The 15151-nt window shown below is 40.0% G+C and overlaps 1 protein-coding gene and 1 pseudogene across 65 annotated transcripts in view; one reads left to right on the top strand and one right to left on the bottom strand.

The window, feature by feature from the left end:
- LTBP1 (latent transforming growth factor beta binding protein 1) overlaps nucleotides 1-15151 on the bottom strand; it is a 452557-nt gene that overhangs the window by 100081 nt on the left and 337325 nt on the right. For all 65 annotated transcript variants that reach the window (XM_011532853.3, XM_011532857.3, XM_011532861.3 and 62 more), the window contains one exon: nucleotides 6147-6269. In XM_011532853.3, coding sequence (XP_011531155.1) covers nucleotides 6147-6269 — 123 coding nt within the window. The remainder of the gene's footprint in view (nucleotides 1-6146; nucleotides 6270-15151) is intronic.
- Nucleotides 13542-13660, top strand: RNA5SP91 (RNA, 5S ribosomal pseudogene 91; annotated as a pseudogene).

Genomic DNA, 15151 nt, shown 5'->3' with positions numbered 1-15151 from the left:
GGATTTGTTTTTTAAAAACCATGTCCTATAGATCAATGTATGACTGTGGTTTTCTTCAAATTTTCTTATTTAAAATGCATCTAAAAGTGTCTGCCAGGAAAACTCAATTAACTGTATAGGCCTTTCACTCAAGTATTATTGACAATTACCTGTTTCTCCTGAGCCAAACTTCTTTTTTTTTTTTTTTTGAGACAGAGTCTCGCTCTGTCGCCAAGCTGGAGTGCAGTGGCGCTATCTCGGCTCACTGCAACCTCCGTCTCCCGGGTTCAAGCGATTCTCCTGCCTCAGCCTCCCGCCCAGCTCATTTTTGTATTTTTAGTAGAGAGGGAGTTTCACCATGTTGGCCAGGATGGTCTTGATCTCTTGACCTCATGATCCGCCTGCCTCGTTCTCCCAAAGTGCTAGGATTACAGGCGTTAGCCACCACACCTAGCCGCAAAGTTTCATTTCTTAACCTCTAATGGGGCATTAACTTTTAAAATGTATCCAGATATAAGCAAAGTATCAGGTTATCCCTCCCTGAAATAGTTGAAATTGCTACTGAAATACTGACATAGTTTCCTGAAATAGCTCAAAGTATTAATGTAATTGGAGTTCAAAAATTTGTTTCTTATTTTATTTAATATTTCATAGCAATTACTTTAGTTGATTAAAAACTTTTGTTTTACCAATTGTGTTCTTGGTCTCTTTGATTTATAAATAATTCCTGGCTGCCAATATTGTCTGTCCATAGAGAAAATAAACAAGGTAACTTTCATTTTAAAGATTATTTTATACCTTTCAAACACTGTAAGTCTCTTAGCTTTAGGAATGGTTGCCAGCAAAGATCAGCCTACGTCACTATTTTCTTTTAGCACATTCTATAAAATACTTGAGATGTCAGTTCACGAACTGAAGACCAACAATAGTTCTTGTAGCTGGCTGGATCTCACATAACATCTGACAACATTTTTAGTGCTTTGGAATCTTTTTGACTTTCTCATAGAAGACAACAAATTAAGCATTCCCATGTGAAGATGTCTGCAACAGAGATAGACCCTCCATTCCAAGGACTATCAGGCTATGCCAGACATCTTACGTAACTGACTCATTTATGTTGCTAAGAATGTCAGGAGTAATTCATGACAAGTAATGACACATACACTTGGAATAACTTGAGGCAACACAGTTATCTTGCACAAGGTGATCTTTGGGTCTTTAAAATGACCAAGGGAACAAAGATAGATTAATTCTAGGGATAAAAATATTTTTCTTTTCTAATGAGGGATAGCATTTCTGAGCCAAAAGAAAGCTTTCTAATAAAATAGGAATGCTGGACAAATGTCTTCTTTCTTTTGTGCCAAGAATATCACACACCCCCGACATGTGAATGTACACCTGACATTATGTGAGGACCAGAGCCTTTCACCTCTGTGTTCTTCTTCCCAAAAACCCATGACCCCAGTTTAATCATGAGAAAAACATCAGATGGATCCAGAGTGGGGAAAAGCTACAGGATTCTGGCCTATACTCTTTAAGATAGATAAGATCATGAAAACTAGGGAAAGATTCATTGGGGAGACTAGACAACTAAATGCAGTGTAGTATCCTGGATTGGATCCTGGAACAGAAAGAGGACGTGACTGGAAAAACTTGTGAAATCCAAATAAAGTCTAGTGTTTAGTTTTTTGTTTTTGTTTTGTTTTGTTTTGTTTTGAAAAGGCAGGGCCGGGTGTAATGGCTGATGCTTGTAATACCAGCACTTTGGGAGGCCGAGGTGGGCGGATCACAAGGTCAGGAGACCATTCTGGCTAACATGGTGAAACCCCATCTCTACTAAAAATACAAAAATTAGCCAGGTGTGATGGCACGTGCCTGTAGTCCCAGCTGCCCAGGAGGCTGAGGCAGAAGAATCACTTGAACCTGGGAGGCAGAGGTTGCAGTGCGCCGAGATCGCACCACTGCACTCCAGCCTGGGCGACAAAGCGAGACTCCATCTCAATAAATAAATAAATAAATAAATAAATAAATAAATAAATAAATAAATAAAGCAGTATATTAGATCCTAGCTCTGACGTGTAGAAGCTGTGTGAGCTTTCTCATCTGCAAAAAAAAGGGAACAATAATGCTTCCTACTAGAGCTGATATGAGGATTGCATGAAATAATACAGGGACAGAGATCATGTGGGAAGAATGAGGTAATGCATCCCAGGCTGTAATGGGAAGACGCCATTAGAATCGGAGTAGAGGTCAAGGTTAAATGCCAAGTGGAAGTAATAGCCCTTTCTCACCTCTAAGCTTTGGCATATGCTGTTTCCTCTGCCTGCCAAGTTTTACTCCCCTTTGTATTCAGTACTTCAAGACTAAGTTCAAATAGCAATACCTTTGTGAAGCTTTCCCAGACGCACACAAGCAGAGTTAGCCACACACTTCTTGGCTTTAACGAAACTTTGTTTATGCCTCTAATTTAGCAAACACCACCACCACCATGTCATGCTCTGCCCCTGCTTTAACTCATTCTCTCTACATGATCTCTGTCCCTGTATTATTTCCTGCAATCCTCATATCAACTCTAGCAGGTACCATTATTGCTCCCTTTTATTTGCAGATGAGAAAAGTAAGGCTTAGTGAAGTAAGATACCGTAACTTATCCAAGCTCACACAGCTTCTACGCATCAGGACTAGCATCCGATATGCTGCCTTTTTTTAAAAAAACAAAACTAAATACTAGACTTTAGACATTATATATATATTATAATCTTGGATATTAGATTGCTGTTAGTTGTCTTGTCTCCCCAACCAATCTTTCCCAGGCTCAGCTGGGATGGCAACAGCCAAGAGCAAGACAGTGGTAATGAGCCATTCATTCAACATGTGCTACTTTGAGCATCCCATTAGAGAGTCTGATCCCCTAATTTTAGGGATGACACAATGTCTGGAAACCTGAGATTATTCACCCAAGGTCATACCATGAACCACTGGAAGAGCCACATCAGGTAAGCAGTGAGGAAGAAGATGAATATGAAAGGCAGGATAATCTTGAACAAGTACTTGGGTCCAAGTACTGCCCTGTGAAGAATCTTCACAGGGCAGTTGTGACATTGATTTGGATAGGTCAGAGAATGCTAGCTGAAGAATGCAACTGTGACAAGTAAGTTTGGACTATGAAAGAGGAGGACAGATTACAAGAGTTTTTATCAACAAGCAGATGAAAAAAATTAGGCAGATTAGGATGAAAGAAGATAAAATGGCAGGATATGAAAATAAACTAGATATAGCAATCAAAGATTAACCATGACTCCTAAGGCTTGAGATCCTCATCCACCATTGATCCAGTGTATGGGGGAAGAAATAATACCTTTCAGATGCTTCTCATATTTAATTTGGTCTGAGGAGATACCTGGCTTAAGGAATCAGTAGGAAACTGTGGATGTGAGCCAAAAGAGAAGGGACCAGGAGAAATGGAGGTGTGCCCACGTTAGATGTTCCACTAGGAGTGGCCAAGATCCACTGTTGCTCTGTTGTATTATTGGAGCAAGGCATCAAATCCAGATGCCTGCATGTTCCCTACTGCCAGTGGAAGAGGCCTCGATTCTTACAGGATACCAGGGTATTCATTTACTACTTGCCTACCATAGTGAGAAATTAATTATCACCCTACATCCTTCACTTACATCAAGACACTTAAGAAGAAAATGTTTACTTATTTCCTCTTTTACCCTTTGCTAGAACATACTTTTAGATGTAAAAGTAAGCAGAAAAGAAAAAAATCCACAGATTTGGCCATAAGAAAAAATTTTTAAAAAATCATAAAAAGGAAAATTAGGGAAGCCTTGGAGAAATTACAACAGTGTACCACCAAAAATGTATACGTAATGTACACATATTTATTATTATTATTATTATTATCATCATTGAGACTCTATTTTGAGTCTTGCTCTGTCACTCAGGCTGGTGTGCAGTGGCACGATCTCAGTTCACTGCAACCTCTGCTTCTCGGGTTCAAGTGATTCTTGTGTCTCAGCCTCCTAAGTAGCTGGGATTACATGCGCATGCCACCAAGCCCGGCTAATTTTTGTATTTTTAGTAGAGACAGGGTTTCACCATGTTGGCCAAGCTGGTCTCGAACTCCTGACTTCAGGTGATCCATCTGCCTTGGGCCTCCCAAAGTGCTGTGTCCGGCCACATGTACATACGTTTATATATGTATTACATATATAAAGAGTTCGTATACATTGATTAAACAAATAAAAAGCCGGATAAATGAGAAATGATATTAATGGAAATTTTAAAAACAAATATAAATGTTAAGTATATAAAATAAATGTTTAAAAATTAGAAGTGTTCAGAGAATCGCTAAAGGGAATGAACATATAAAAAAATTAAGCCTTTTCAGAATTAAAATAAATATATATATGAAATGAGAATGTTCTCCTGTAAAAATAGTAAAAAGACCATGATACAATATATGTATCAAAACATCACTGTGTGCCCCATAAATATGTACAATATGGACAATTATTACATGCCAATTAAAAAAAAAACCAAATAGTAAAAAAATTCAGAACATTTTTGCCAGGCGTGGTGGCTCATGCCTGTAATCCCAGCACTTTGGGAGGCTGAGGCAGGTGGATCAAAAGGTCAGGAGTTCGAGACCAGCCTGACCAATATGGTGAAACCTCGTCTTTACTAAAAATACAAAAATTAGCTGGGCATGATGGCGGGTGCCTGTAGTCCCAGCTACTCAGGCGGCTGAGGCAGGAGAATCGCTTGAACCTGGGAGGCGGAGGTTGCAGTGAGCCAAGATCGTACTACTGCACTCTAGCCTGGGCGACAGAGCAAGACTCTGTCTCCAAAAAAAAAAAAAAAAAAAATTTTACCCAATAATTCCACTTTTATGAATAAGGAAATAATTCTAAAGTTCAGACAAAAGTTTATTTTTAAAAGAGACCTAGCCAGGTGTGGTGGCTCACGCCTGTAATCTCAGCAATTTGGGAGGCCTAGGTGGGCAGATCACCCGAGGTCAGGCATTCAAGACCAGCCTACCCAACATGGTGAAACCCTGTCTCTACTAAAAATATAAAAATTAGCTGGGCATGGTGGGAGGCACCTGTAATCCCAGCTACTCAGGAGGCTGAGGCAGGAGATTCGCTAGAACCCAGGAGGCAGGGGTTGCAGTGAGTCAAGATCATGCCACAGCACTCCAGCCTGGGGGAGAGAGCAAGACTCCACCTCAAAAAAACACCCAAAACAAAGAAACAAACAAACAAACAAAAATTAGTCGGGCGTGGTGGCGTGTGCCTGTAATCCCAGCTACTCGGGAGGCTGAGGCAGGAGAATCACTTGAACTTGGAGGGTGGAGGTTGCAATGAGCCAAGATCATGCCACTGCACTCTAGCCTGGGCAACACAGTGAGACTTCAGCTCAAAAAAAAAAAAAAAAAAAAAAAAAAAAGACCTGTACCAGTTTTGTTCACTAATGAGAAGCTGAAAATTTTTTGTTTGTTCAATACCTAAAGAAGAGCAAGAAAACTGTGATATAGGAATATACTAGAATATTGTGCAGCCTCTAAAAATAACGTTTGAAAAAAAGTTATGAATGGAATGTAAAACACTTATGGTAGGTATACTATTAAATGGCAAAAAGCAAGATATAAAATTATACATAGAACATCTTTATATACAATATCCACGAAATATGAATATTCATTAATGACATTATGTAAGATTGTTACTTTTCTTTTTTCTCTATTTGCTAAATTTTCTAAAATGAGTGTATATTGGTTACTTTCATATCAATTTTATTCAGAAATAATTCCCATGCTATACAATTCCATTTAAAATGTACAATTCAATGGTTTTTAATATATTCACAGAGTTGTGCAACTGTGTGTATTGCTTTTATAATGAGAAAAAAAAATTTAGATGAACCGATCTGTGGCTCACAGACACTCTCTAAAAATACATCGTTTCCCTTTATGTAAATAGATATGCTCTGTATTTAACCACAGCAAGGAGCCACTTTCAGCCAAGCCAACCAATATGTGCTCTAAGTCGCTCGGTCAAAATAAACACAGGTAGCAGGGTTCCCTTTTCTAAGGCTAATTGCTCTAATCTATATTTAAATGAAGTTTAAATAAAAATGGGAAACTTGATCACAGTATTTACCTCTACAGTGCTTGTGGTCCGGAGTCCGGGTATAGCCTTTGTGGCATGAACACATGTAGGAGCCTTCAAGGTTGGAACAATCACCATTTGCGCAGACGTTTGGTTCCAGGCACTCGTCCACATCTTGAAGAATGTTGCGTAATGGAAAGAACAAAAAAAGAAGAAAAAGAAAACATGGATAAAGTTAAATTTGGTTAGAAATGGAAACAGTAGACCTTCAGAAGACCAGGCAGATTCTTAAAGATAAACTTTCAAATTAGCCCAAAGGAGAAAAAGCAGCTTGTCGTGAGCTAAATGGATGACGGTTCTATACTTTAACTTACCTTCTGAAAGTAACTCGGAACCAAATATGCTCTGTGAATAAATTCAAGAAGTAAAGATGGCTTGTTGTAGGGGGGAGGAAGGAAGAGACGGGAGATTTAGTGCAACATCTCTACAAGAAAGCATTTTCCAAAGAACCAAAGATGGGTTGAGGTCTATTTTGGAAATTGATGAATTCAATAGGATGGGAGAGTTCACAAAAGCAAAAGATATGACTCATGACCCAGAGAAATCACAGAGAAGTTTTAACAGAAAGGTGAAAAAGAGTCCAATAAAAAGCTCTAAAATGGCAGTGAATCCATATGATAAAAACCAAGTAATCTAAGGGACAAACACAAGCCTACTGGGCAGTTTGAAGGTAGGGCACACGCTGAAGAGGTAGATAATAATAATAGCACCTAATCTTTATCAAGCACTTGCTACATGTGGGCATTAAAAGCTTTACATACATCATCTCATTTAATCCGAACAAAATCCTTATGGGCCAACCATTTTATGGAGGAAGGAACTGAAGCTTAGAGAAGTTCAATAACCAGCCCAACGCCACATAGAAAATGGTGGTTCTGAGATGTGAACCCAAGCCTATCCTTTTAACCTGACTGTAAGTTTCTGTCACAGGCAAAGTTAAATCTAGTGATAGAAACAGTTAAAGAAAGAGAGAATGTATGAATTGATGTTTGTTTTTATTATTTGCTAACACAGCATTTATATTGAAAATAATCATCTAAAATCTACTTCATTAAAAAATATTAAGTCCCTACTACATATTACTATTTTTCAAAAATAAATAAACATGTAAGTTCTGTGCTCCATTTGAATGGCCCTGGGTAGGTCCACCGTATGTCACAGTGACAGACACTAGTGAGGTATCAATAAGCAAGAACTTAAAGAGGAAAAACTTAAATCACAAAATGCTAAAACTACACATACAATAACACAATTAGGCTTAATCTTATAGGGGTCTATAACATAATCAAAGCATCTTAAGCCTAAGCCAGGCAAACAAGGAGGAAAAGACACGTGACAGCATCTGTTTCACTTTTCAATGCTCACTACACCACGAAAGCAGCAAAGCTTTCTACCCTCTTAAGGCAGTCACAAGCACACTGACAATACAAACCCAGAGTCTAGATTGCATGCATTTGCACTGTATTAAGACTGTATTCTTTCTTACAGTGGAATGCAGAAACGGAGTTGTACTAAAATGTGGCAAACACGTATCTGTGAGTGTGCACACGGGTGTGTTCCCTGCACATACTGAGAAGAGCCAAGGAAATGGCACTGCCTAGGTGCTCTGCGTTGCTTTCACAAAATATCACTAATTATGGTGAGCTGACTCTAGTCCACGATAACAAAAATAGCACTTCCAGACTGACTCATTAACCACCCTTTCCTTGGTTGTGGGAATCCACTTCTGTAAACACTGAAGGCAAACAACTTGAAAGAAGAAGCCAAGCATTGGAGCCAAAGTAAATAATGGGAATGAGCCTAGACACCAGGCATAGAAATTCCAGACAGCAACAGGAAAATGTCATGTTTAGTATCTGGTTTTGTTTCAAAAATGTTAACAAGCTCAGAAATGTATGGATTGCTCTCTTTAATTATTCATGCACCAGGGAAAGTGATTTATAAGGCTGTAGAATATAACAGCAAAATCAATTTCTAAGACCATACTTTCTCTAGGTAAAGTAAATTAACAGACACTGCAGATTACCATTTAGGAGATACTTATAAAACTTCTATTTTTCTAGGCTACTCATGATTAATGATGAAGCAGAATGCCTTGAAATATCTAGGGTAGCCTGATGTGTTTATTCTTTCTTTACTTATTATAGACATAATTGCATGGAACCAGAATTCTGTCAAGCCAATCACCGTAGATAGAACAGTTTGAACTGAAAGTACATTGCCTTAATGAGACTATGCTCCTGAGAAAATAGCAAGACAGTAAAATATCACTAAAGAATCTCTACAAAGAAGGAAGGTCTCCAGAGAGGAACCACACGTAAAAACACTTGGTGGATGCAAATGGTGTAAAATTAATTCAGCATTATATCGTTGGCCCAGATTTCTCTCCTAAACTGTAGAAGCATGCATCCAGCTGGTAAGTCTACTGGACATCTCCTTGATGTCCCCCAGGTACCTCTGAGTCTTTATGGCCAAAACTGACCCCTCCTCTGTCTTTTCTTTATGTTATTTTTCACACCAATATCTAGTACCATTATCTACTCAAATGCCCAAGTCAGAAACCTGAGTCCTTATTTTTACTCTCCCTCTTTCCTCACATTGTTATTGCCCAGGCATACCAATCTGCCCTTCAAATATCTCTCAAATCACCTACTTTCATTCTTTCTCACCCGAGTTACTGCCACAGTCTTTTAATTTGTTTGTCTAAGACTTGGCTTCTCTAATCCATTATCCAGCTTGCAGACAGAATAAACTTTTTTCTAAAATACAAATCTGATAAATGGTGTTGGCTCCTCTACTTTAAAAACCTTCCATGACTTTCAGTGTTCTTCAGTTTAGTCAAGGACACAAACTTGTGGGGCCCTGGGTGGTAATGATAGCAGAAGGCTTGGCCCCCACAGTTCTAGCTTCCAACCCTTGGGAAGATCTCCCATCAATGCCATAAGAAGTGCTATGCTTTGAAAATGGTTTGTCCCTGCTAAAACTCATGTTGAGGCTTGGTTGTCAAGGTGGCAGCATAGGGAAGTCGTGCTTTTAAGAGGTGATTAGTTCATTAAGATAGATGAATGTCTTTCTCTCGAGACTGGGTTAGTTCTCGTGGGAATGAAATTGTTCCCAAGAGAGTGGATTGTTATAAAGTGAGGTTGCCTCTGTGTTTTGCTCTCTTTGCATGCACTTGCTTCACCTGCCACTTCTCCAGCATATTAAGACGCAGCACAAGGCTCTCACCAGAAGTGGCCATCTGATCTTGAATTTGCCAGTCTCCAGAACCATGAGCTAAATCAATAAACCTCTCTTCTTCATAAATGACCTAGTCTCAAGGTGTTCCGTTACAGCAACACAAAATGGGTTATGAAGGAAGCAGGTGGTGCCTACCCACCCCACCATCCACCCCATGGTTGCCTTTTCCCTGAAGCAGAGGGAGATGATTATGCCTCTGGTTTTCATGGTAGAGCTCAAAATTTGTCTTACTCTAAGATATGGTCTTACAGAATGTTCATATTACCCAAATTCTTCCAGTGCATATACATAATGAGTTCAACAGGCCTTTGCGTTTTATCTGTTAGGAAATATAATAAAAAACAGTGTTGATAAAAAAAATTGGTTCTAGCCAGGTGTGGTGGCTCTTGTCTATAATCCTAGAAACTCAGGAGGCTGAGGTGGGAGGGCTGCTTGAGGACAAGAGTTTGAGACCAGTCTGGCCACCACAGCAAGCCCCTGTCTCCACACACAAATTTTTTTTTTAAATTAGCTGAGTGTGGTGGTGCGTGCCTGTAGTCCCAGCTACTTGGGAGGCTGAGGCAGGAGAATCACTGGAGCCCAGGAGTTAGAGACTGCAGTGAGCTGTGATCATGCTGTTGTACTCCAGCCTGGACAAGACCTTGACACTTTAAAAAATAAAAAAAGAAAGAAAAGAAAAATGGATTCTAAATCTCAAACAATTTACCAATGGGCTTTTGAGACATAACAATTTGGCATTTGCCACTCAATGAATTAATTAAACCTCCCAGGGTAAGAAACTTGCCGAGGTATCAGGTCAGACTTGGTAGGCAGATAGTTCAAAGATGTATGCATCCATCTTACAATCCTATCACCCAATCCAAATTGATCCTTCTCATCTACAGTGCCCAGAGAGACTCTAACAAGTACATTGTTGAAAACTAGATGTGCCATGCCCACAGAATTTCCTGGTCTACTCATCTAATCACTGTATCAGGAAAGGCAGTCAGGACAGTCTAGCATGATTTATCCTTAACGAATCCTGACTGGTTCTTATAATCATCACTTCCTTTTTAAAATGTTTCATCTCATCATTTGAATCATGCATTCTACAGTTCTTTGTCAAGATTAACATGAAGCTCAGTGGTCAGTAATTCCCAGACTCCACCTTCTTTTCTTTTTTCTTTTTTTTTTTTTTTTGAGACAGAGTCTCGCTCTGTCACCCAGGCTGGAGTGCAGTGGTGCGATCTCGGCTCACTGCAACTTCTGCTTCCTGGGTTCAAGCGATTCTCCTGCCTCAGCCTCCTGAGTAGCTGGGACTACAGGTGCCTGCCAGCACACCTGGCTAATTTTTTGTATTTTTAATAGAGACGGGGTTTCACTGTGTTAGCCAGGATGGTCTCGATCTCCTGACCTTGTGATCTGCCCGCCTCGGCCTCCCAAAGTGCTGAGATTACAGGCGTGAGCCACCGCACCTGGCCTCCAACTTCTTTTCTTTTTGCGGGGAAATGAGAACATTACTCTCTCCGTATCCTCTGGTAACTATCAATTCTCCACAATTTCACAGAGATGACTCCCAGCTGGCCAGTAATCCCACCTGGCTCATTGTCTCGTTGCCTTGGGGTGTAATTCATCTGGGTGAAGAACCTTTTAAAATTTAAAATTTCCCTTCCTAATATCCTGGGAACATACCAGACTGTCTCAAGCCCCTCCCTGGTGGGCACAGCCCACCATGTACAGAGGGTATTCAGTGGCTGATGTCACCCAGTCATGTTCTCCCCAGCCTGTGCTCACTTACATTTCATGTAGCAGCTGCTTGGGGTTGGCTAGAATTTGTCCCGGAGCAGTAATTTACCTGTATTACTTCCTGTACTTTCAATGAGATGAGTATGTCAACATAGCCAATTATTTCTCTAAGGCTATCCAAATTCAATTTGTTCCTTAATCACCAATACAGGCTTCAGTGAGTGAGTACCACTTGAGATAGGGATAAAGCATCTTATTCTAGCACTACAGCTACATGAAAACACAGGATTATCCCCTACCCCAAATGTGTCATTACTCCAGCGACTCCTCAACTATTCTTCACACATAATCTTTTATATTAAAGAAGATGGAAGAACATATTTGGCAGAAAAGCAAGCATGGCAAAATGAGAGACAGATGTTGGTCCAGCCAGTGTGATGAAACCACCTCAACTGCATTTGAGGTATAGTAGATCCTCAGAATCTCACACCCCCTCTGTCAATTCTGATGAAGTTAAAATATGTGGTAGTAGCAGCAGAGCTGCTGACAAACATTTGTTACATAATCCTCAAAGAATCATCACGGCTTTGCAGAACTGGAGAAGAACCAATGAATGCTATGCACATCCTACATAAAGAGCCAAGGATGATCTCAGAAAAATCCAATCACTAATCCCACCAAATTATTGGCTTCCTACCTCACCTTTCCAAAGGAGCATTTTATCTTTCAGCAAAACTCAACTGCCACTACATATGGTGCAGACTTGCTGTCTCAAACTCTAGAATCCTCAAGCCATTGTTACTGCTGCTTGCAAGGGATGATTCCAGCCCATGTGGCTTTCTCCTTTCTATGCTCTTTTATTTTCCTTATTGTCTTCATTATATTGTTTTGTTCTTTAGTTTTCTTACGTGTACACGAAGGGTACATGAGACATTGTACAGAACAAAACACTGGATTTAGAGATAAAAGATCAGAGGTCACATCCTAGTTCTGACATTTATTACCTATAACCTTTAGTTAGCCCATTCACTTGTTTGGGAATCAATTTCCACACTTGTACTACAGAGATGACTACTGTGAGGATCAAATGATGCCATCATGTCAAAACCTTCATAAACTATACAATGAGAAGGATTTTGTTATAATAATTAATGTTCCCACAAACCATGCTGCCTGCTTTCAAAAGTTGTTGTTGTTGTTGTTGTTGTTGTTTTTATTTTATTTTTATTATACTTTTAAGTTTTAGGGTACATGTGCACAACGTGCAGGTTTGTTACATATGTATACATGTGCCATGTTGGTGTGCTGCACCCATTAACTCTTCATTTAACATTAGGTATATCTCCTAATGCTATCTCTTCCCCCTCCCCTCACCCCACAACAGGTCCTGGTGTGTGATGTTCCCCTTCCTGTGTCCATGTGTTCTCATTGTTCAATTCCCACCTATGAGTGAGAACATGCGGTGTTTGGTTTTTTGTCCTTGCGATAGTTTGCTGAGAATGATGGTTTCCAGCTTCATCCCTGTCCCTACAAAGGACATGAACTCATCATTTTTTTATGGCTGCATAGTATTCCATGGTGTATACGTGCCACGTTTTCTTAATCCAGTCTATCATTGTTGGACATTTGGGTGGGTGTTTTTATAACTGCCAATCTTCTCTGGCATATAGATACACAGACAACAGCTCAATAAATAGCTTAGTGATTGATTAGAAGCATCCTTTAGCATATAATAATGTAGGGATAAAGCTAATGTTTGCACATAAAATATGAAAAAGGTACATGCTGTACTCAGTTGCAATCTTCTATAAAACAAATATCTGCTGTACCAAGTCTTCAATTTTGGATTAGTCTATGAATATTCATATAAGCCATGAAAGTTAACACTGAATCTTCAAATCTGAAAATAAAGCCTAGTGTGAAAAGAACTTCTAGAACAATGAGTTCTCCATGTTTTCTGTCCAAGTTTATTCTTCAAGTTCTCTGTGCCAGGTCTTGGTTAAGACTGTAGCTAATCAGTTGTCAAGTAGACTGAATGATACTAAATTCTTCAAATACCCAAGACCTACATTCACAGAGTTTAAATGGGAGTCAGAAAGTCATTCTCAACTTAATCAGGGGTTAAAAAAGAAAGATTACACTGACAAAATCTCAGAATTTTGTGTTACCGGGTCTCAAGTTCTATCACAAACTGAACTACAAAGCAAGACAACCCCCAAAAGGCTAGCTGCATATATCCAATAGGTGGCATATTCTGCCTTGTGAAGGTGAGCAGAGACAATAAAGTACAGGAATGGAAATAGCAGCATTATTATAGATGCCTGAACATTTGTTAGGAATCACTAATGACCCTACAGAGAAGTATCATGGCTCCCAAGAAGTATATTCCAGCTAAGTAAGAACACTAAGAAGTTGGAAGGAGTCAACAGACATATCACCCTGAACGTGCCCGATCTAGTCTGACCTTGGAAGCTAAGCAGGGTGGGCCCAGTTAGTATTTGGATGGGAGATATTGAACAGGAACCACAAAATTATTTACATTCATAAAAGAATGCTCCAAAAGGCCAGGTGCGGTGGCTCACGCCTGTAATCCCAGCACTTTGGGAGTCTGAGGAAGGTGGATCACAAGGTCAGGAGTTCTAGAACAGCCTGACCAACATGGTGAAACCCCACCTCTACTAAAAATACAAAAATTAGCCGGGCATAATGGCATGCAGCTGTAATCCCAGCAACTCAGGAGACTGAGGCAGGAGAACTGCTTGAACCCGGGAGGTGGAGGTTGCAGTGAGCCGAGATCGCGCCATTGCACTCCAGCCTGGGCAACAGAGGGAGACTCCGTCTCAAAAAAAAAAAAAAAGAAAAAGAAAGAAAGAAAAGAGAATGCTCCAATGACATAAGAAGAATTAAAAAACTATATGACATGAGCTTCAAAAAGCCAAAGAGAATATAGTTATATAGAAGAATGTGACCCGGGCACGGTGGCTTACCCCTGTAATCCCAGCACTTTCGGGGACTGAGATGGGTGGATCACCTGAGGTCAGGAGTTCGAGGCTAGCCTGGCCAACATGGTGAAACCCCATCTCTACTAAAAATACAAAAATTAGCCAAGCGTGGTGGCGGGCACCTGTAATCCCAGCTACTCGGGAGGCTGACGCAGGAGAATCACTTGAACCCTGGAGGCGGAGGTTGCAGTGAGCCGAGATCACGCCATTGCACTCCAGCCTGGGCGACAAGAGTGAGACTCCATCTCAGAAAAAAAAAAAAAAAAAAAAAGAATGTGATACATAACTTACTTTACCAAGTACCAGTTATTACTGCATCTCTTATGTTTGAGGACAAGAGCAGTATAGAGGAGGGTAATAGTTGGGGAAAAAGGGTTGTAGCATGGATGGGGTTCCACCATATGTCAGATGCCTACTAGGTGCTTCATATTGCTTACTTCATTCTGGCAAGAAAGCTTAAACAGCAAGTATTTCAATCCCCATTTTACAGATAATAAAACTAAGCTTCAGAGAGGTCATGTAGCCCAAACTCTGTCTAAATTCAGGGAACTAAGATCTCTACATTAGCAATATCAAATGTATCTTTAAATAATTAAATATTAGAGAGTTTCCTTGGGGGATGGCTCTCATCGGGTTTCAATCAGGCCAGATCTCCACAAGCCAAGAAGAACCTGTAAATTGAGTACCTGACAGGGTGGCTTCCCTTAAGAAAGGACTTGGTTGAAATAGCCATTTGGAACTGGCCAGAACCCAGAGTGATGAAATAGTCATTAAAGGTGGGGATCGAGTGGGCAGCAACTCCAGGCTGAATGTCAGGTCCAAGGAATACAGTGCCGAATGACGAACGTGACTCTCTAGAGAAGAATGAAATCCACGACTTGAAAGAAGAAGCTACGTTAACAGAAGAGCCAACAAGAGTTGCCAAAAAGCATTAGGGATGATGTGTGTTAGGTACAGTCTGAAATGATAGATATTTGAAGTGGATAATAAACTATTGAGGATGAGGGATTGTATGACCTGAGCTAAACA

The sequence above is a fragment of the Homo sapiens genome, chromosome 2, assembly GCF_000001405.40.
Source record: "Homo sapiens chromosome 2, GRCh38.p14 Primary Assembly".
Lineage (NCBI taxonomy): Eukaryota > Metazoa > Chordata > Mammalia > Primates > Hominidae > Homo > Homo sapiens.
The sequence above is the reverse complement of the archived record's forward strand: the minus strand, read 5'-3'. Positions and strand labels throughout refer to the sequence as shown.